General features: G+C 32.8%; 1 long non-coding RNA gene across 1 annotated transcript in view; it reads left to right on the top strand.

Moving 5' to 3' along the window:
• Positions 1-11,127: 11,127 nt before the first annotated feature.
• Positions 11,128-24,401, top strand: part of LOC105377350 (uncharacterized) — a 114,309-nt gene continuing 101,035 nt past the window's right edge. Inside the window, exon 1 of the long non-coding RNA XR_939033.3 lies at positions 11,128-11,281. This is a non-coding gene — a long non-coding RNA (uncharacterized LOC105377350). The remainder of the gene's footprint in view (positions 11,282-24,401) is intronic.

Here is a 24,401-nt window from a genome sequence, read left to right as displayed (position 1 = left end):
AACTCCTGGGGACTCAATCTTAGGGGGAAGGGGGAGCATATGCTTTTGTGCATTTTACCTCCAAGAGCCCCACCATATTCTCAGAGTGAAAAATAAGAGATATATGCATTCATGCTTCTGGCAGGGAAGGGGGAAAGTAACTATTCTGAAATAATCCTAGAGTGCTCTCTTCTCCTAAAAAATTACCTGCCCACAAGGAAAACTATTTTAGCAGAGCCTAATTGACTGAGTTTTACCAGCACCTAATCAACCTGAAAAAGAGAAATACCCAACACTAGTCCCCTTGAGTTTTCCTGTCTCACATGAAGAGGGGAAGTAAAAAGGCTGAGAAGTGCTTGTAAAAGTTACAGCCCAAGGACACAGACTCCTTAGAAGACCAAGATCTAACAGTAAGGTGGTAGTATCTTCCTGCCATCTTACCACCACCTCAACACCACCGCAATCAAGCTCCTGTATATTAATGGGGGATTATCGCTGAAAGAACTTCAAGCATCAGACCCTATTTAAGAAGGAGTCTTTAGGAAAATCCACAGGCAACAGGGGAAACAAAAACAAGGTCACTAGAAGAAATATTAGCCTCTGACACAACAGCTACAGCAAACAGTAAATATAACCCAACTCAGCTGGCTAAATATAAAGGATCACATTTAAGTCCTGTGTAGTTTGGTCCTTTTACCCAGTATAAAGTCTGGCTTTCAGCAAAAAATTACATGGCATACTAAAAAAAAAAAAAAAAAAAATCATAGTCAGAAGAGACCAAATAAACTTTAGAATCAGACTCAGATATGGCAGAGATTTTGGACTTTATCAGCCTGGAAATTTAAAACAACTATTTCTGTCATTTCAGCCAGTTCAGCCAGGTTAAGAACTCTTGTTGGAATCTGGCGCGGTCGTTTGGAGGACATATGATACTCTGGCCATTTGAATTACTGGAGTTCTTGTGTTTGTTCTTTCTTATTTCTGCATGTGGGTGTTCCCTTAACTTCAGTGTTGACTGAGTACCGTTAATAGACTTATTTTCTGGATGTTTTTACAGGGCGGAGGCGTAGCCAACAGATGGCAATTCTAAGAAAGAATCAAAAGGAAATGGTAGAAATAAGCCACACTGTAATGAAATGAGCAATGCCTTGGATGGGCTTATCAGTAGTAGCCTTGTCATGGCCAAGGAATAAAATCAACGAGTTTGAATATATGTCTCTAGAAACTCCTCAAATTGAAAGGCAGAAAGAATCAGGAAAATACATATATGAAGAAAACTATAAAACTTTGTTGAGAGAAAACCAAAGAACTAAGAAAATGGTTCTAAGAACTACTTATTCTTAGTTCTTAGTTTTAAGAACTAAGAAAAGCTATTTCATGCTTATAGATAGGAAGGCTCAATATTGTCAATATATAAGTTCTTCCAGCATTGATCTATAGATTCGTATACATCTTGCACAAATGGTACTGTGTTTTCAGTTTCAAATTCCACTTGTTCATTGTTGGTATATACAAACTTTTGTATATTAGCCTTGTATCCTAAAACCTTGTGATAACCACTTAACAAACTCTTAAATACCAACAATAGGAAAACAAACAACCTCATTTTAAAAATGGGCCAAAGACACAGAACTCCCACCAAAGAGGATATTTAGATGGCAAACAAGCATATGAAAAGATGATCCACATCATATGTCATCAAGGAAATGCACATTTAAAAAATTGATATACTACTACACAATAATTAGAATAGCTGAAATCCAGAACACTGACAACACAAAATGCTGGCAAGGATCTGGTGGTACAAGAACAACTCTCATTCATTCCTGTTGAGAATGCAAAATGCTTTCAGCCACTGTGGAAGGCAGTTCGGCAGTATCTTACCACAATACATATACTCTTGCCATACCATCTAGCAATTTTGCTTCATAGCATTTATATAATGCACTTAAAAACTCATGTCCACACACACAAGAAACCTGTACATGGATGTTTACAGCAGTTTTATTCACAGTTCTCAAAACTTGGGAGCAACAAAGTTGTCCTACAATATGTGAATGAATACATAAGCTTTGGTACCTCCAGACATCCAGACAATGGAATATTATTCAGTGCTAAAAAGAAATGAGGTATCAAGCCTTGAAAAGATACAGAAGAAACTTCAGTGCATAATAGTAAGTAAAAGCAGCCAATCTGAAAAGTCAACTTATTGTATGATTTCAATTATGTGACATTCTGGAAAAGGCAAAACTCTGGAGACAGTAAAACAAATAATGGTGGCCAGGGGTTAGGGAGAAGGGAGGGATAAATACACAGAGCACAGATAATTTCCAGGACAGTGAAACTATTCTATATGACATTATAATAATGCATGCATGTGCTTATAAATTTATTCAAACCCAAAGAATGTACAACAATAAGAATAAACCTTATGTGTCAATTTAGGTATATAAATAGTAATAACTGCATCACTCGGTGGTAAGATGTTGATAATAGAGGGAGCTATATAGGGACGGGAGCATGGAATATATGAGAAATCTATGTATCTTCCTATTAATTTTGTGTGAACCTAAAACTGCTCTAGAATTAAGTTTACTCTTTAAAAAAAGAAAAAATTAAAGTATTAATTGTATAGAAAAATATGTGAATGTGTATTTTTATTGTAAGCTCAAAGAAATGTAAAAATTGCTATAATGTAATCCAAACCTTATAAAGTGGAAAAATTCACTGCATTGTTAAATTCTATATTCTTTCTTGCCCTTTTATTCATAGATATCATTTAAATTATATGTTTGGTAATATTAAACAATACTGATTTTTAGGGTGTTTGAAATATGCTTATTTTTAAGACTTCTACAACTATTCTTGAAAAAATATTAATATAGTCCCTGCTGTACCTCTATGTGGTGCGTCTTTATCTTTCACAAAGATTATTATTATACTTTAACAAATATTCTTCCAATATTTGTGTTTTACAGGCTAGTGCTAGAATTATTTGGATTGCCTCTGAGAGGAAAGTGGCAAGCCTACTTCTCAACTGCTATAATATGTACACTGCTATAATATGTAGAGTGGTGGAGGCTATAAAGTATTTAGGTTCTAGTCAGTTGGTATGGATATAATTCTTGAATCTCTGTCAAATGGCTTCATAAATAACTATTGCTAAGTCAGTTTGGCAAAATGATATTGATAATTATTAGCAATTCATGGCACAGCAGTCAGTTTAATGCTATAATAACGAAGGTCTGCATAAGCCAGCTAATACCACTTCTCTATTTATTACAATCCTTTTGTTTGTTTGTTTGTTTGTTTGAGATGGAGTCTCGCTCTGTCATCCAGGCTGGTGGAGTGCAGTGGCGCCATCTCGGCTTACTGCAAGGTGCGCTTCCTGGGTTCATGCCATTCTCCTGCCTCAGCCTCCCTAGTAGCTGGGACTAGAGGCGTTCGCCACCATGCCTAGCTAATTTTGTTTTTGTATAATTTATATGACGTAACTGCAAATACTTTAAAACCAAACCTTAACAATTTTTAAATATTTCCCTACCTTTTCTCTCTCCCTCTCTCTCTAGTATTTATATTTATTTCTCACTCATTACCATATTATTTAACTTCACTTAATTATCAGTTGATAGTATTCTCTGTATCCTAGCAAAAAGACAAAAATGAAATATTCATCAAAAGATTTATCATTTGTAGATTCACTTTCATAAGGGTGCTGCAAAGAATTTTCTTGGCAAACAAGATATCTTATAAACTACTTCACATGTGATGACTTTCTTTATATATACATCAGCAAAATTAAACAAGAAAGTGATACTGGCTAGGATGCAGACATGGGTTTCTTATTTTTTAATGAAATTATATTAATTAGAATAGTATTCTACTTCAACTCAAAGGTATGATGATGATGATCACTGTGTAAAATGTTTTACTGCTATGCTTATAATAGCTACAGTCTTGCTAACGATTGGAGAAGAATAGTACCACATGCATACAATAGAATAGACCCAAATCATCAGCAGTTTATTGATTTCCACCCCAGTCACCAGTAAGAATTCAAAAGTAATTAATTTTTAAACATTGCTCTTATAGTTCAAACCTCGTAAAATTTACTTGTCTGTTCTAGTACTGTTTTTCTGTGTTAGCATTTTCTACAATGCTAATGTAAATTTTTTTTTCTAAAATAATCATGCTGTACGTGGATAAAAAGAGTTTAACTTTTCTTCCCAGCATTTGTGCCTTTTTGTCTTTTATTTCATTTTCTTGCCTTATTGCACTGGCTAGGATGTCCATTGCAATTTTGAATGGAAATGGCAGGAGCAAAAATCCTGGCCTTGTTTTTGATCTTGGGGTAATTATTCAATATTTCAATTTGTTTTTCTGCTTACTTCCTTTATTTATTAGTATGTGGCTTAATCTCCAAATATTGGGGGTTTTCTAAGGAAACAAAATATATTCTATAAGATCTACTTGTGTTGAAATTTATTGTTGCTATTTTATGAGCCAGGATATGGTCTATCATGTAGAGCACTCCATGTGCACTTAAAAATATACATATTCTGAATTTATAGACTGTAATGTTTCAGAAAGATTAATTAAGTCAAATTGTTGATGGTGTTGTTCAAATCTCCTATATTGTTAATGATGTTGCTTACTTTTTTAATCAATTACAAAGGCAGTGGTGTTAAAACCTCTAACTGTGTTTGTGGATTTGCCTATTTCTCCATTTAGTTCTGTAATTTTTTTCCCTTCAGGGATTTGGAAGCATTGTTACTGAGTTTATATACAGTTAGAAATGTTAGATTCTTTCTTATGGGTTGAACTTTTAATGAGATGTTTCCTATTCACCTCTGGTAATATTTTTTGTCCTATAGTCTACTTTACATGGCATTAATATAGCAACTCTTATTTTTCTTGTGCATACTATTTGCATAGTTTATACGCTTCCACAAGTTTACTTTCAACCTATCTGTGTATTTGTATTTGATACATTACTTGTACAAAGCATATAGTTGGGTCTTTCAAAATATCTTGACAAACCTTTTAATTGGAGAATACAGTCCATTTATCTTTAATATAATTGTTCATTTTTTTTTGGATTAGGTTTATCCCCTTACTATTTATTTTCTAGTTGTCCATCTGATTTTTTTTCAATTTTTCACTTACTGTCTCTTTTGGTTGATAAAATTGTTTAGTATTCTGTTTTAATTTCTCTATTGTCTTTTATCTTAGTATTATCATTTTACTTTTTTTCTGGAAATAAAAAAACCTTAATTTAGTACAGTATTTTTAGTGCTAAGAACATTTTATTATATTTCACTACATATTCTATTATGATGTGCATTTTGATTCTATTTATCCTCTATCTTTCAGCTACATATCTCCACATATTTTATGAAAACTAAATAATATATCTATAGATTTCATTAATAACAAAGTGTAATGTTATTTTTATGTTAATTTATTGTTTTTGCATTAAATTAAGACATAAAAGGTAATATTTTATATTCTCCATATATTTACTATTCCCAATATTTCTTATTTCTTCCTGTAGATCAAAGTTTCATTTAGTGTGGTTTCCCTTTAAATTGAATAATTTTCTTTATTTATTTTTTTATAGTGTAGCTGTACTGGTGACTAATGTTCTTAGCTTTTGTTATGTGAAAATTTGGCCTTATTTTTTGAAGGACATTTTGCTGCATATAAAATATGACCCAAAAGTTATTTTTAATTTTAATACTTTAAAGCTGTTTGATCATTGCCTTCTAGCCTCTATTGTCTCTAGGACAATGTCTGCTATTATTAGCACTATTGTTATCCATTGCATAATTTGTCTCTTTTTTCCATGACTGCTTTTATTATTTTCCTCCAGCTTCTATTTGTTTTACTATAATTTTCTTAAGTGTGCTTGTCTAGGCATTTACCTTGTTTAGGTTTTATAGAAGTTCTTTGATCTGTCAGTTGATGTTTTCTTTTTTTTTTTCACGAATTTGGAAATTTTTCAACCATTATACTTTATATGTTTTAAATATATTTTCTGTTCTATTTTATCCTCTCCCTCTGCTATTTGAATTACAAGTATGTTAGATTGCTTGATCTTGTTCCACTGGTCCTTCAAGTTCTCTTAAATATTTTTCTATCTATTTTCTGCCTTTTTTCCATATTGATGAATTTCTATTCATGTGTTTTTAAGCTCAGTAATTCTTCAGGCTTTCATTTTCTGTTAAGTCACCCAGTGGATATGTCACTTCAAATATTGTGCTTTTTGGTTTGATAGTTGTCAATGAGCTCTTTTAAAAATAGTTTCCATTTATCTGCTGAGATTCATTATAATGGTCTTTTTCTTCAAGCTTTTGTACATATGCATAAAAATTGTTTATAAGTTCCATAATTCAACCTTTGGGTCATTTCAGGCTTCATTTCTGTAGACTACTTTTTTTTTTGTTAGTTTTAGACACATTCTTTTTCATTTTCATGTCTAGTAATGTTTTTATTGTATGTTAGACATTGCGGTAATGCATTGTAGTGAGTCTAGCTCTATGTTTAAAAACATAGAACATTTCTTAAAGAGCCAGATAGTAAATATTTTAGCTTGTGTGTTAGATGCTCTCTGCAGTAACTACCTGACTCTGCTGTTACAATAGAAAATAAGCAACAAAAAATAATTAAACAAACAGATGTGGCTATGTTCTAATAAAACTTTACAAAAACTGGTGGTTTGCCTGTGTAGTAAAGTTTACTCAACTTTTCTCTAGAGTATGCCTTTGTGTGTGTGTCTGTGTGTGTGTTAGGTTTTATTATGGCAGGCAGTTAGATAAACTGGAAAATCTTTTTTGTCCTGTACTTTTTTTTTTGTTTAATCTTTATTTTGATGGCTCTATATCAGTTTTGAATATTGCTCTAGGTTTTTTTCTTACACCCAAAGTCTAGGCTTTCCACATCTCTGCTAAATAGCCAAGTCGTTCAGCAAAGACTCTTAGGCTGACTGTAACTTCTGGTGTCACATTCAGCAGTCAGCCAAACATCAAATGATTACCTACAGGCACTGTGGAGTTTCACTCTGTATATCCAGGCCAGCCCTTAGCCAAGGCCCATGTTTTGAATCTCTATGCAGACTTCTATTTTCTAACTCTATGCTCCTCCTTCTTATCCAGTATTCTGCTCAAAAATTCTAGCCATTTTTACTGATTTGAACTCTCATCCCTGCATCCTCAGTGCAACAAAATTGTTACTCAGTTTGGGCTTCACTTCCCTGTGCACCAGAACAGTAAATATTCCCAGTCAGAAGCTCGTGAGATTGCAGAAACTACCTCAAAGTTCACAGTATTACATTGCCTATTGTTTAACACCGGAAAATAGTCGCTACACATATTTTTTCCTACTTTTTAAAGTTTTTTCCTGTTTTTTTTTTTTTTTTTTGGTGAGAGGGCAAGTCCAGTACCAGTTATTTTGTTAAGACTGAAAGTGGATATACATCAATGCTTTGCAAAGCATTCTTAAATTTTTCAATAAGACTCCATTCATTTCTGCTGAGATTAGACTTCTAGAATATTTCATCAAGTTTATGTCATTGGCTGTTGGCCACTTAATAATATTTCAACATAGCATTCAGAATATATTCAGAGTGAATTTATACATCTGAAATGTCATTACTTGAATATATAACCATTAAGTATGCAACTGTGCCAACAACTGTATAGGGAGAGTTTAAACAGTAAAAGGGTGTAATATTAAAAGAAAACTATATATTTGAATGACATTATAGACTATGGATACTTTTGATCTAATTCTTAATATTTCCCTACACAATTTCATATTTTCCTATTCTTCAGTATTCTATATATACTAAAATCAGTTAGTGCTTTGCTTATCACTCTTCACACATGTCTCTAACTGTAAAAGCCCTGACATTGAAATTTATACTGGAAATAACGTACTTAGAATAATCATCATTATCAAATTTTAATTATTTTAGGAATGTAATTGAACATATAAATTAGAAACAGTATGTCCACTATAATGCATATATCAGTAATCTGATCAAGCATATAATTTTTATAAGAAGAAAACTTGACAGAAAGTCAGAAGACTGGTCTCTATTCCTAGTTATCCTGCTCTAGAATTCACAACTTTTTTGGGCCTCAGCCCAGTGGGAGCTTGGGGTAGAGCCTAAATCTGCATGAAAGCCACTTAGAATGTTTGTCCAAAATGCAGATTTCTGGGGAGTCCATCCAAATCTCAAGTATAATAAAGGTTGAGAATCTTTATAAAAAAAGTGGTTTCTGATATTACATTTATATCCAAAGCCTATATTAAGGGAACATGTAGTATAACAATGTTTCTTTTCAACAAAATTATTTGTACAGCCCCTGTGGTGTTTAAAACAGTGGCTGCTCTTTGGAAAGTTAACAGATGTGGCAAATACAGGATTTAACTTGCTATTAAAACACGTAAATTACAGAAATCAACTTTATAACCAGCATTATTTTGTGGATAGAGTTAATACTTTGCCATTAACTTTGAAGAAGGCTATTTAACCTCTTTAATTTTAATAGACACATACTGATTGTATTATGAAAATAAATTGAATGAGGAACATTATATGGTTGGAAAAAATGATTGCTAATGCTCCTTCCGGATTTGCCTTTCTCTCTATATACAAAGTGTAAAATCTGAAGATTGACATCAATCTACATGTAACTTTTATTATACAGACTACTATTTACTTTGTTATAGTAACAAATGTATAATAATTATTCTATCAGATTATATTTTATGAATATTTTTCTCCATTTAAAGTAAAATTCCAAGTTTTTTTTGGCTACTCTCCTATATTCAAGTTTCCATAAGAGAACTTCTATTTCTGGGTGTAAACAGTATTGGAACAACAATTATCATTCTGCCTTTTTTCTTCTCACACCTTACTTCCTCAAAGAAGAAAGATTTGAAACTCAGATTGCAATTTGTTCCATATTTGGATCTTTCTAAAGTTCTGGCATGCAATGTCTGTGGCTTCTTAACCCAAGTTGTACTAGGAATGCAATGAATGAACACATTAGGCTCTGTTACTTGTGAAGCATACAGATGACTCTAAATATATTGCTTTTAAAATAAACCTTGTCAAATTACAGAAATGTGGTGAAGCATACCCTTATCTACAGAAGAGAGAGGGTAGCATTGTGTTGGGCAGATTTTCTACAAGGAAAACCTCATGTAATTAACATGATTCTGGCCCTTTAACTTTTAACATGCTTCCCCAATTAAGCTTTCAAGGCCTTGAACTACAATATCTGGCCACAGCTGCTGGAAATTGACTTATCTCAGAAGATCATTGGAGCTTCTGACCTCTCTGTTAGAGAATTTTATTTAGCTTTTTAGATATTTGCCTCCTTTTTGCCCTAGAGGAAGGGTGAAAAAAAAAAGATGTAAATATTCGCGTATGTTCTAAGTTTTCACTATTTCAATCTTTTTTTCAATACTATATATTTGTATTTAGTCACTATTCTGTAAAGGTTGAACTATAGCTATTTAATGTTACATACACTTGCAAAAATATATAATGCAAAAAATATTTAGCTTATCTTATAAATATTAAAATGATATGTGGTGGATGTTTTGCTTACCTATCAAAAAATTTTATTTCAGTCTAAATCCTCACATAAATTATTATTACTACTGTTATTGTTGTTGCATTTATAAAATTAATGATTAAGTATTAACCAAATAATAATTCTATCTCTTTTGAAATGTGCTAAATATTCAAATCGTCATCTTGGGTTCAGGACCTGTATAGCCCTTTCCACTGGCATTTTTTTTTTTTTACTTTTTTAAAAAATAGAGTTTGCAAGGGTTATATGTCAGAAATGTCCACTTTTTTAAGAATTCAAGACCAGAATATCCTGTCTTGACTTTGCTGAAGAAAACCTTCCTGCACACAGCACCTTATGTTTACATGTGAGATTTGCCACTGTGAAGATTCCTGCCTCGTCTGTGTCTTGGCATGCAGCAGCCCCATGGGACAACAACATGCCCTCTCCAGGGTGGTTTTTGCCAGCACTGCACTTTTGCTTCTGTCATTCCCCTGCCTTAGTCCTAGTGGTTGTAACAAACCACAGGTGTTACAAACTCTAAATTGGAATTCGATGTTGGATTCAAAAACTCATGATAATTACACAGCTGTTTTAAATTGTGGTTAAGTGGCCAAAAACTGCCAAGAAACCCCACCCACATTCATTACTGTCTAAACGAAAAGGACGTGTATACAGTGATTATGAGGTTTCATATGACTCCCCCAAGCCATAGAGCAGGCTTTCCTAATTGTCAGCTGGACTGTGCAGTGCTTGTTTAAAATAATTAGAGTGCCGCAGCAGCTTCAGCAGCAAACCTCTCTTTTTTTATTTTTTTTTTAAATCTCATTGCAGGTTTTTATATCAGATACTATCAGCTTCCTCTTCATTTTAACACTATTATTCTGCCAGTCTGGAAAATGGAGAAGAGGAAAGAAAAGAATTATCCTTAATGTACACAAATAATGCAGCTCCAAAGTCAGGAAGATACAGCACCATGTGTGAGATGGATGGAAACAATTCAGCAAACAAATCTAAACTGAGGGGAAAAACGTGGTTCTCTCTTATTTTTTTTCAAGAAGGATAGCTGAAATCTTTCTTAATTACCGCTTATTCCAATGACAGAATTGTAATTTATCATTTAGTTGTAATTTGACATATGTTCACACCTTTGCCATTTCCAATTTCCTCCTTCATTCTAATTGTCTGCTTCACTCGCCTGTCATGCGCTTCTCTTGGGATTAATTCGAGCTGTCTGTCTGCACCAGGCTACCAGCACACTTGGGGCTGCCGAGAGCGTGACAGTGTCAATGTGCACACAGTTTATCTAAGACATTACCCAGCCATCACACTCCGGGATCTTCTCTTCCCTCACTGTTTACTGTTTATTCCACTTTGCATTTGTGACTTTTCTGTGTTTTATTAGACTCTAATTATGCTCTTGGCTGTCAGCTGTAAAGAGAGAAAACGTTACATTAATTACAGTGGAGGGGGAGGCGCTTGGGATTGGTAGTAAATGGACCAGTAGATGTCTCTCTCTGTCTCTAAGATCCACGCGTGATTTAAATACTCTTTTTGCTTCACTTTGGTTTGCATCCTTGATAGATGCCTGCACTCAAATGTAAAATATGCAAACATTCAAGCGAACGTAACTTTTACATGCACAACTGTATTTTTCCTCATCTCATCCAAAACTAGGAACATTGGCATAGGAAGACAGAAACCTCAGCTTTCAGGTAACCATGGGTTTTTTTTAAAATGTCAATTGTTTAATTCATGGATGTTGTCAGCACAAGCATGATGGGGAGTGGTGATGGTGAGGAGCGTATTTAGTGAGCAGTGGTAGAGTACAATTTTTGTAGAGGTAGCTGTTGTTTTGAATCATTAGAAACAGTTAATAGTCATTTTTTCCTCCTTCCTAAGGCCATCTCAGTCCATTAAACTCCAGCAATAATTTCTGCATATGGCATCAATTTTTTTTTTTGCTTTCTTCAGAAAAAAGTTCTTCTTGTTGCTTCCAGCCTACGTAAACCATAAAAATATGTTTTCTGTTCTCCTGCTACATAGATTTTCATTGTAGCTAAAACTTCCTGGTAATATGAAACAGAGGAAATATATCCTCCCCCACCCCTTTAGGCTGTTAACGTGGGTAGTAATTCATTAAATTGGTTGCATCATTCTCCCAATGGCCTGAAAGAGTGAAAGTGACTACTTTGAATATCAAATTATCCATGAAAATGGATTTATATTTTATTTTCTCCTGATAATTTCATCAGTCTTGTTTCAGGTAATTGTGGGACTGAAGCTAATCTGTGGCTTAGATTTCTTTCCTATTTTTTTGTAATCCCAGCAATTCTCCTAATTATGTTTTTTGGCTTCTGACTCAGCTTTAATTCTATATACTGTCAGATGCTGTATAACTGCCTGATCATCACTTCACATATTCTTAACTTGTGAAATACCTGTATTCTACAGATATATATTAAATCATATTCCTAAGAGTTAGAGTTTTAATGGGAAATTAATAAGGCATGAGTGAAGAAAGTAACAGTCTATAAAATATGAACAAAGTTGTGAAATATTGTCTAGGCTTTTTTTTTAACTTTCAAATAACAGACAATAAATTTCTGGCATTTACCTACACTACCTTAACTATAATATAAACATTATATATCAAGACAATATCTAAGAATATTAACATCTTGTGCTGATCAAAAGCAACTTTTTGTTAATTTCATTTTTATTCTTCTAACATTATTCTAGGGTAAATCCATTATAAAATATTATTAAAGTATAAATTAAGCTTATTGAAGTTGTGCAACTAGAATGTAACCAATTATAATCACAATCTCAGCAACTGGAATTTTCTAGTATTTAATTTTTAAGCTACATACTTTGACAGAGAAAATATAAAAGTTCAAGAGTAAAGGGAGAGAGATGAGAGAATGAAGAAGAGAGTAGAAAAGGAAATAAAGACAAGTGCAACTTAAGGACAACAAATCATCAAATTAGCTAAAATGCGGTATTAAACACGAATAGTCAAAAAGTTTTATAATATTTGAACTCTCCTAATAGGACTTATTTTTAGCACTATGCATAATTTTATGAAAATAATGTAAGACCTTGATTATTACGTACCTGTATTACTGAAACACATTTTCAACTGGCTTCTCTTCTTTCAAATGCAGAACCTCTCTAATACGTGTCGTTATGATACCCTAATGACTCTAGCTCAAATATTCTCTTCATTTTATGGGTCCCTGCCTTACCTTCTTTACTGGCTCTGAAAATCATCCATAATTGGATTTTGTTCTAAATGTGTATGTACCTATTTCCCACCACTCTATTGTAAGAACATGCCATGCTCATTATTGACAGATTGATTGGTTTATTCATTCATTCACATTTGTTGGACAGGTAATAGTAATGTATATAAAGCAGTGAGTAAGACAGAAACCATTTCTAGAGTCATGGAACGTACTTTCAGGTGACCAGTTTGTTCTTTGCTGATTCCCACACAGTAATTATGTTTGCCTCTGTGCTTTTGCTCATATTATATATTTTTTCTCTTTCCATGTATTTCTGCCAGCTCTGAAAAGCCAACATACTGTTTTTTGTTTTTTTTTTTTTTTCTCCTGAGACAGGGTCTCGCTCTGTTACCCAGGTTGGAGTGCAGTGGCGTGATCTTGGCTCACTGCAACCCTCCGCCTCCCAGGTTCAAGCGATTCTCCTGCCTCAGCCTCCCATGTAGCTGAGACTATAGGCATGCGCCACCACGCCTCGCAATTTTTTTTTTTTTTTTTTTTTTTAGTAGAGATGGGGTTTCATCATGTTGGTCAGGCTGGTCTCGAACTCCAGACCTCAAATGATCCGCCCATCTCAGCCTCCCAAAGTGCTGGGAGTACAGGTGTGAGCCACCGCACCTGGCTCCAACCTACTTTTGAAAGTACAGATTAAGTCTAATCTTTCTAATGAAGTATTTCTATCCCACACAGAACCAGAACATTCCACATTTTATTACATATTATTTTATATATTTTTAAATGTTTTTTTTTCGATTTTATTGTGTCAAAGTCTGTTTCCTTTTTATCCTTCAATGGCTAAAGCAGGATTTCTTGAGTAAGAATGTGCATCACAATAATTTGTGGAGCTTTTTAATAGTCTACTTCCAAATTGCTATACTTTACAGGTTGGGTCCCTGGGTGCATTTGTTTACAAGGTATCTTAGGGTTTAGGTCCCTGGGTGTACTTGTTTAAAAGCCATCCCAAGAAAATCTGGTGCATTCTTCTGGTTAAGAGCCACTGCCTTAACCAACATGGATACAGTGCACATTGATTAATGAATGAACTGATTGATCTGCAAATTAAACTGTATTATGTTGCCTGGACTACATAGTCCTAAGAAAGTTAAATCACTTTACCTGTGCTTCTAAATACTTCCTATAGAAACATGGTAAAAGACTTTGGAATATTCATATGAAAGATAATAACATTAGCGTAATATCCTATTTTTATTTTATTAGATGAAATTGAGAATAAATGACTCTAAACCTGTGTTTAATGAAAGAAATATTATGAAAAAATTTACTATTTTTATTTTATACAAAAGAAATCCATGACATATTTTGCAATTATAAAGTAAAATAAAAAATAACATGGCTAGAAAACAAGAGTCTTAGTTATAAAATGTTTATATTAAATTTTTAAAAATCAATATAATTTATAGAAAACATGAGATTAAGAAAAGACTTATTTCTTAATGTTTTGTAGTTTAAAGACTTCCTAGCAGAATATATGAACTTATACTGATAAATGATGATTGAAATAATTTGGTCTGCTTTGCAAAATGGAGTTACAGGCGTTTGAAATTATGACTAAGTGGCCATATAAGCAATCTAATAACCCAATAAGACTGTATATGGTCAAAGTGCCTATTTGTTTGGATGAGTGTGACTGTGGAAGAAAACTTTAAAGCATATCAATTTAAAAGAGTATAATGGGAGAAAATCAGGAGAGCTTACATAAAAACTACAAGACCTGAACATAAATAGGAATCCAGGATCCTGCTATCAAAAAATCAGCAAAAAATAACCTGCAATGCATGTTACTTCCACTAATTTTAGTGTTTTTAGGATATAAGAGAGAATATACTGCTGTCAATCTCCTTTTCTCCATCAGCGTTTAATGGGCAAACATAGATGATATGGAAATACAAAGAAAAAAATTATTTGGGTTATGCCATATTTTCTTGATGCAGATCAACTTTACCACAAAAAAGTATAAAATTTGAGCAAAATAAAAAAAAAATTGAAGCCATCATTAACCAGAATGTTAGAGGTATAGATAAAAAAGAAAATGGAATTTTCCATGATTTTCATTTTTTTGTTTCATTTTTCAATTAAAATAAAAATAAAATGTATCAATATCCTATGCCACTTCTCCCCTCACCCTTCCAGTTACTTGCACCAAAACTAAAGAAAGTTATGTAGGCTAAATAAAATTTTTACAATATGAAAGCATGGAACTTTGTAAAGTAATGTAGAGAAAAGGTAAGGGATAAAATAATATTTGGTTAAATATGAATTATGAAGGCATAAAAATAATAATGACATATGAAGAAAAAATACATAAAATTAATATCCATGGCCATAAGCAACACAAGAGGCAGGAGGTGAATAAAGAGCGTTCTAAGATCCTCCAGAAAGTAACAGAGAACTAATTTACTTAAAATCCTAGGAAATCATGAGGATGTATAATTTCTAACAAAATAATTTAAAGATTTCAAAAAGAATGTATAGTGCTAAAACTAGATGATAAAAAATGCTTAATCAAAAAAGAAAAAAGAAAAAGAAATATATAATAAGCAGGATCAACAAAAACAAATAAGAAGATGGCAGGTTTAAACCTCAAAATAAAAACTAATACAATTAGTATAGATTAAAAAGGTTTGGAAAACTATAACCTTAATCTGTTTTTTAAAATATGGATAAAGTTTTATTGAAACACAGTTACACTCATTTATTTCTGTCTATGGCTGCTTTTGGACTACAATGGCAGTGTTGAGTAGCTGTGACACACAATAGATATGGCCCACAAAATAAAAAATAATCTTGCCTTTTATAAAAAAAAATTCCCAATCCTTTCTCTAAAAACCTAGATTATCAAAGTAAAAGAAAGAGAAATTTTTTATACCACTTAAATTGCTATAAATAAGTAAATAAATACAGGATATACAAATGTAAATATGTGTGTTATATATTACATGAATATAAGTATATAGAATTTTGAAAGAAAAAAGATGAAAAAAAAGCATATCATATAAACACCAGAAGAAAACTAGTGGAATTGATTTTAAAATAAAAAAGCATCAGTTAATATAAAAAGGGATATTTCATAATTATTAAGAAGAAAAACTGGAAGATGAAATAATAGTTGTACATTTTTATGTACCTACTAGCATAGCTCCATGTACATAAAGCTAAAACTGGTAGAAGTAAAAGGGAATATTTATAAATATATATTTTAACACTTCTCTCATTAACTGACAGAACAAACCTGTCTATCCATAAATAAGAATGTGAATGTTTGAACCACACAATTATAAACTACTTAATTGATGTCTGCTGTCTATCTGTTTGTCCACCCATTCATCCATCCATTGAACTATCTTTCTGTCAAACTCACTCAACCACAGAATATACAATATCTATTGTTTTCAAGGGCATATGGAGTGTTTATCAAAATGTAAAATACGTTGTGCAATAAAGCAAGTCTCAAAAATAATCAAAATAGGAAATCATACATAATGTGCTCTGTCTATAGTAGAATTAACATAAAAATCAATAATAAATAAAATCTACACATATTTTGAAGTTAAGCAACAATCTAGTACATAACCCTTGGGCCAATGAAATTAAAAAGTAAATTAGAAAACAGTTTGAGCTGATTGGTAATAAAAAATGGCATATCAAAACTAGTGAGATGCAAATAAAAAGCATACATGGTAAAAATACATTGCACATTTTATAATTATAAAATGATCATATTTTAAAAACACTACTTATATTACCAAGAGGCTCCTAAAATTATTCATCTCAAGTTAGAAAGCAGCACCAAATTAAACACAAAGGTAGTAGGAGGAAATAAAGATAACACTAAACGTTAATAAGAAAAACAACACAGAGATGATGAAAGTCTAAACTGGTTCTATGAAATGTCAATAAAACTGATAAACCTGTGTAGCCTGACCAGAAAGGAGGAGGGGAAAGGGAACAAATTAGCCTATCATGAATGATAAAGAAGACACCACTAAGCCTATACAGATATTAAAACTAAGACTCTAACTACAGATTTCTAATAATAATAAGAATATGTTGAAAACAACTTATTCAAAAAATGAAAAATTCATATGAAATTCACATATTTCCAGTAATAAAAGGCCTTGACAATATATCAAAACTGACACAAGATCTACAAAAGAAAAGTGATGGCCCTATATCTGTTAAATTCGTCAGATCTCTAAATGAGAACCTTCTTCCTATTAAAGCTACAGAATGTGTTCCATTCAACAATGAATTCTACAAATCATTCAGAAAAAGTAATGTAATCCTATATGAAATATTCCAAAGAAAAGCAAAGAAGGAGTAATTCCCAATTTATTTTATAAAGTCAACAATCTTTTATAAGAATGGGGAAAAGTGCATATACCAATCTCTTTAAATAAAATTCTTAAAAAGAGTTCTTAAAAAAAACCAACTAGGTTTTGTTTTATATGAATGCAAAGTTGGACAATTGTTAACCCATCAAGGTAGTGCATCAGACTAACAGAGCAAAAGAGAAATATCATGTGTTTATCTCAAAAGATGCAGAGAAAGACAGCTACCATAAAACGATTAGTAAAGTAGAAGTAGAAATTTTCTTTAGGAGCATACAAAAAATTACAGTAAGCTTTCCATCTAAATCCAGAATAAGATCAATATATCCACCATCTCCACTTCAAATATGTACTTGAGATGTAGTCAGTGCAACATATCATGAAAAAGAATGGTATAAGAATTCAAAATGAAGAAATAAAAATGTCTTCTTAATATTGAAAGCATGTAGAAAATTCCAAAGAATCAATTGGAATTAATATCTAAATTTAACATGGTCTTTAAATATAAAATTAGTAAATAAAATTAATTTTATGTCTATATACCAACAATGAACACTTATAAAGTAAAATTGAGAAAATTATTATTAATTGCAATAGCACCAAAGGTCATTGAATAAGAATAATCTCACAAAATTTATACAAACTCTCTACACAAAAAACTACAAAATATTTTTGAGAGATTAAAGAGAGCCTAAATATAAAGGGCATATTACGTCCATGAAAGAAAATGTCAATTTTCCCCAAATTGATCCAGAGGGTCAATGTAATCCCAATAAAAATTCCAAAAGTTTTGTTTTATAGAAACCGATAAGATTCCAAAATGTATACAGAAGTGCAAACAGCCAGGGGGAATCAAGACAAATTAGACATGCTTGAAGTAGAACAAAATTTTAAGACTTACACTATGAGATATTAGGAATTGTTGTAAAGCCACAGGTGTTTAAAAAATGAGGGACCCTTGATGGAAGCACAGATAAATGGCCTCTGTCACAGAACAGGGTGTCTAGAAATAGACCAACAAGTATAAAGACACTGGACTGATAACAAGGTGATGCCTTCAAGTGAAAGGAAAACAACTGTCTTTTCAATAAATGATGCTGGGTCACTGAGACATCTTTTTGGGAAAACAATAAATGTTGACTCTTGCTCACATCAGGAGGAAAATCAATTCCATGTGGATTATAGAATAATGTATAAAAGATAAAGCATAAAGCTTTTAGAAAATGACATATAGAAGATTTTTGACCCTGGCATAGGTAAATATTTCTTAAACAGAAAACAATTTTTCCCAACCCTAAAGGAAAATATTGATAATTTAGATATAATAAAATTAAGATATCATGTTTATTAAAATATACTATTTTAATGTAAAGAATGAAAAATATGCCACAGGGCAGAAGAATAAATATTTAATATATATAACTGATAAATTACATGTATGCGGAATATATAAAGAACTTCCAAAAACCATTAAAGCTGAAAAAGAGGTAACCAAATACAAAAATCAGCAATAAATACATTAAAAAGTATTTAACTTCATCAGTTTTCAGGGAAATGCAAGCTAAAATCACAGTGAGATACACCACCACACATACCAGAAAGGTGAAAATTATACTAACAATACCATATATTGACAAAGAGGTAGCATAATTGGAACTCAGACATTGCTAACAGGGCTTAAATATTTAGCATCATTTTGAAAAACTGCAGTGGTATCTACAAATGTGAAAATGCATATTCTAGGTAATTCTACTGATATGCATACACTTGTCAGAACTGCATATGTCTGTTCCCCAAAACATATATACAAGAATGTTCATAAGTTACATTATGTGTAATAGTAAACCAAATATTGCATGCTGTCTTTTATAAGTGGGAACTAAATTATGAGAACACATGGACACATAGAGGGGAACAATGCACACTGGGGCCTTTCGAAGGGTGGAGGTTGGGAGGAGGGAGAGTATCAAGAAAAAAGACTAACTGGTCCTAGACTTAATACCTGGGTGATGAAATAATCTATACAACAAACCCCCATGGCTCAAGTTTACCTACGTAATAAGCCTGCATTTGTAACCCTGAACTTAAAATGAAAGTTAAAAAAAATTTGGAAAATAAATGACCACCAAAAATAAAATGGGTAAATAAATGTGCAATTTTCACACAATGGACTACTATACAGCTATGAAAATAAATGAAATATTGTTACACCACCAACATGAATGAATATCAGGCTATTACTGTGAGTGAAGAAAAGCTAGACACAAAATAATAAGTATTATATAATTTCATTATATAAATTTTTAAAATAAGCAAAACTAACAGTGTTAAATACTGGGATAATGGTTGTCTTTGGATAGGCAGTCCAGCTGTGACTGAAAAAGGCACATTGGAGCTTCTGGGATTTTGGTAATATTTTATTTCTTGACTCAGCAGTTTTTACGAGTTTGTCCACTTTAAGATTCACAAATCTGTGAATGTATCATCTTTCTCTCCTTCAGCTCATGCTGTAGACTGAATAGTGTCCCTTCAAATTCATATGCTAAAGCCCTTACCCCCTTGTGATCATATTTGGAGATGGTGGGGCCTTTGGGAGGTAACTAGGATTGAGTTCATGAGCATGGGCCATAATCTGGTGGGATCACTGGCTTTAAAGGAAGCCACATCAGACTTCTTGCAGTCATTAGTACAAGTATATTGTGTGCCTATAGAAAATCTCAAAGAATCTATAGGAATTAATATCTAAACTTAAGATGGTCTTTGGATATAAAATTACAATCATAATTGAACAGTAACTATGGTTATATGATATACAGTTTTCTCTAGTCCAAGCTGAGATCCAGGTATATAATCCAGGTACTGTATTAGTGTATGTGATTATAAATAGTTGAAAAATTTAATTCCACAGATTTCTGGGAAATTCTATAATCTATAATAATCAATATGTTTAGATTTTAACTCTATAGTGGGTATCAAATATTGCAAATCTTTCTAATATACTTTCGTTCACTGATTTTTAGGTTTTTAACTCTCTTCTAAGTTGTTCTTGCTTCTGTTTAGCCAATTTGAACTCTGTTGCTCAAGAATACATACTCAGATATGGACTGTAATTAGGCCTCCAATTTTAATTCTTTTAACTACCACCCCCTCTACAAAAAAAGAGAAAGATAAAACTACTAAAATCAAGCATTGGTTCTGTATGTATATACCTGAGTCTTGAAACACAAGGACTTCGAAGTGATAATGTTGTGCTTTGCATTTGTGTAGCACTGTCCTTTCTAAAGCACTTTACATAATTTAACTCATTATATCTGATTATATATTTTATTAGCATATTATTTAATGAAGTATATAAAACACAAAACTATTCTTTAAAATACTCATTTCATTCTGCTTCTACATTAGCAGTCTCAGCTCATCTACATTTTGATCAGTTATCTGCTATTCTTTCTTTTGAACATTTCATTTCAAAACCAGAGTTAAGGAGTAATTGTAAATGTAGCATGCTTTTTTCCTGAGTTATTTCATAGTTAATTTGTTGTCTTGATGGTATATTTTACTTTTTCTGGCATTTTCCTCACAATAGTGTTAATCCTGTTTTTAAAATAATCACAGTGTGGCTATTCTAAAGAGTCTTAATTGATTACTACCTTATTGCTCACAGCTTATTCTTCATCCTCTGTTACTAATTTTAAATCTGTTCCTTATACTCTATTTAAACTATAGATTTTCAATATCTTTTATACATTGATTCACCAAACCTCTCACCCTTGAGCAGCAACCTCTTATGAGGTGATTTTGTGTCTGTCCTCTATTCCCCCACATTTTGACCTTTGGTAAGGTTCTACCCTGAAACGTCATCTCTTTTTTGAGCAGCATTGACAATCCCTGCTACAAGATTGAATCTTCTCCACAATGATTTCAATTGCTGCCTTTCAACTGTTTGGGCTTACTGTTCCATAAAGCAATAAAAAAAAAAACTCTCTACACAAAGATATTCCACATCAAGTTGGTAGCAAGTAAACATAATTAATGTATAAAAGACAAAGGATTAAAGTTGCTTAATGGAATTGTCTGTTTCTAAGCAATCTCCTAAAATTGTCTGTTCTAAATCGTCATCAATCAATATCCTAATAAGAGTGTTCATTGATAAGCACATTAGTTTTTCTTTACAAGTTTAGTTTATAAATCATTCTTAACACGTATTTACATAAAATATAATAGCCATCTTTTTCATTCACATCATGTTTTCTTTATTTCTTATTCACTCTAATCTGGATATTTTTATTGATTGTAAAAATTAATATTTTGTATTTATTTTATTCCTAAGAATTATTATCTTTTGACATAATCACTGTGATTATGTTCTTACAGTAGTTGTGAATAATATACCATATTCTATAAACATATATTATTACCAGTGGGGGACAGAGGCAGACAAAGAAATATTGGCTAATAAGGACCAGAACTTAGACAAGTAGGCCTTGCTTATTGTCTCAGAACCCATGGATGAAGAGATTGGGTTAGAGCGGTCAGAACCTTGGCCAAAATCTGTGCGGTGGAAAGAGAAACCAGTTTGAAATGGTTAGGCTTTGTGTCTCCACCCAAATCTCATCTTGAATTACAATCCCCATTATCCCCACCTGCCAAGGGAGAGACCAGGTGGAAGTAATTGAATGATGGGGCGGTTTTCTCCATGCTGTTCTTGTGATAGTGAGAGAGTTCTCACGAGATCTGATGGTTTTATAAGGGGTCTTCCCTCCTTTACTCAGCACTTCTCCTGCCTGCCGTTTTTGTGAAGAAGGTGCCCTGTTTCCTCTTTACCTTCTGCCATGATTGTAAGTTTCCTGAGGTTTCCACAGCCATGCTGAACTGTGAGTCAATTAAACCGCTTTCCTTTATAAATTACCCAGTCTCAAGGAGTTCTTTATAGCAGTGTGAAAATGGACTAATACAAGTTGAAACATTGATGTCAAGAATGAGCCAGTGTCTTTGGAAGCACAGGTTCTTCATGCACTTTGTTTTCAAGGCCTGAGTTGAGACACAAGAATTGAAATAAAGTGTAGGTGGAACTAAAGTCACAGGCCAAGCACATAGGTGTGCGTTCTTCGAATTGAGGAACAGAGTCACATTGTTCTCAGTAACATGGTGAAATAATCACATCATCCCACTCTGTTCCTCCCCGGACGTGAATCATCCCTTCGTTCAGCATATTCACCTTGTGTAACCTACCAGCCAGTCAGTCATTTGGTAGCCATCTCAGTTATCAGCTCAACTGTTGAGGTATTGCAGTACCTGTTTTCTTTTTTTTTTCTGTTTTTTTTTAAATTATTATTATTATACTTTAAGTTTTAGGGTACATGTGCACAATGTACAGGTTAGTGACATATGTATACATGTGCCATGCTGGTGTGCTGCACCCATTAACTCGTCATTTAGCATTAGGTATATCTCCTAATGCTATCCCTCCCCCCTCCCCCCACCCCACAACAGTCCCCAGAGTGTGATGTTCCCCTTCCTGTGTCCATGTGTTCTTATTGTTCAATTCCCACCTATGAGTGAGAACATGCGGTGTTTGGTTTTTTGTCCTTGCGATAGTTTACTGAGAATGATGATTTCCAATTTCATCCATGTCCCTACAAAGGACATGAACTCATCATTTTTTATGGCTGCATAGTATTCCATGGTGTATATTTGCCACATTTTTTCAATAACTCTTATTTTGCTTAGCAGTGACTCCAAAGCACAAGAGCAGTGATGCTGGCATACCGTTATAATTTTATTTTATTATTAGTTACTGTTGTCAATCTCGTACTGTGCCTAATGTATACATGTTATCGTAAGTATGCATGTATAAGCAAAAGCACAGTATATATTGGGCTCAGCACTATCTACATTTCAGGCATCCACTAGGGGTCTTGGAATGTGTCTCTAGAGGATAAGGGAGGACTACTGTGGTGATAAATTGAAAAAAAAAATCAGTCTGGCTGGTAATCACGTTTTTTTTTTTAACAGAACATTAGTGATACTTGCATTGAGATATAATGTCAAGAGAACAAAATATTTTCAACCTGACACACGCAAGCCACACTTAGACTCACAATAGTCCAAATCCTCTCCTTCTGAGTGACTGCTGCTTTTTAGGAATGACATTCTAGCTCTACTTTTTTCCTCTTTCTCTTCTTAAATCACTTTCACTTCAACTTTTTAAAATGTTTTACCATATCTACTAAGAACACTTTATTATGACTATCTTTGCTCTCCTTCTTGTTACATTGACTTTCCTATGCACAGCTCTTTCACTAGTTCCTTGAACTTTGCTGCATTTCTCATAGTGCCTCATAATTCATATGTGAATGTTTCTACTTGCCACTTTTCTAGTTATATGTATGTGTAACCTATACATGGTTTTGAGCTCTGTTTAGTAATCTGGGTAATAAAGTGTAATAATCTAGTAAAGGAAATAAGTACTTCTCACACCTTGCTTTTATGAGTTGTGTATTGACTTTAACTCATTCGGTTTTAAATAAAATCTACTGAAGTCAAACAATTTTCTCCCAAGTATTTTTTCCCAATTTACTTGCAATATTAATCCTTTTGTGCATTTATCCTAAATCATATAGCTCTAAAGCAGGGATGGCATATACTTGGCAATAAGGGATGTCTTTCCCTCCCTACAGCTACAGTTTTATAAAGCGCTTAAGAAAATCCAGTGGCCTCTTCCCTACTCAACAAACCCACATTCTTCTCAGAGGTCACAAAGTTCAGCACTTTTAAGTGTTTCTTCTGATATTTATCTCTGTATTTAAATAATATGTTTTTACTTAGATTTGTTTTTAGATTTTGAGAATGAAGCTCTATTGAACACCTTCTCATGCATGCACATTCCCTTCCCCATCCATCACACTGTTGTTATACCATAATACGTGCTTATACTAATGCTGAGCATTTAACTTTTTATGAGTGCATAATTTTAATTCATAGCTAAGCCATATTCTTTACCATAATTGCACATCTTTTTTACATGTCTTTGTTTCTCAGTTAATATTGATCCTCTGATTTGCTTAGTTTTTCATGAAAATATTACTAATATAGACCCAAACATTTTGCCCATAGGAATAAAATATCTCCCAACAATAAGTTTAAATACTTTCTACCAATCTTCAATTTCATTTTCTTATTCAGATATATCCCTCCTTAAA

The sequence above is a fragment of the Homo sapiens genome, chromosome 4 (genome assembly GCF_000001405.40).
Source record: "Homo sapiens chromosome 4, GRCh38.p14 Primary Assembly".
Lineage (NCBI taxonomy): Eukaryota > Metazoa > Chordata > Mammalia > Primates > Hominidae > Homo > Homo sapiens.
The sequence above is the reverse complement of the archived record's forward strand: the minus strand, read 5'-3'. Positions and strand labels throughout refer to the sequence as shown.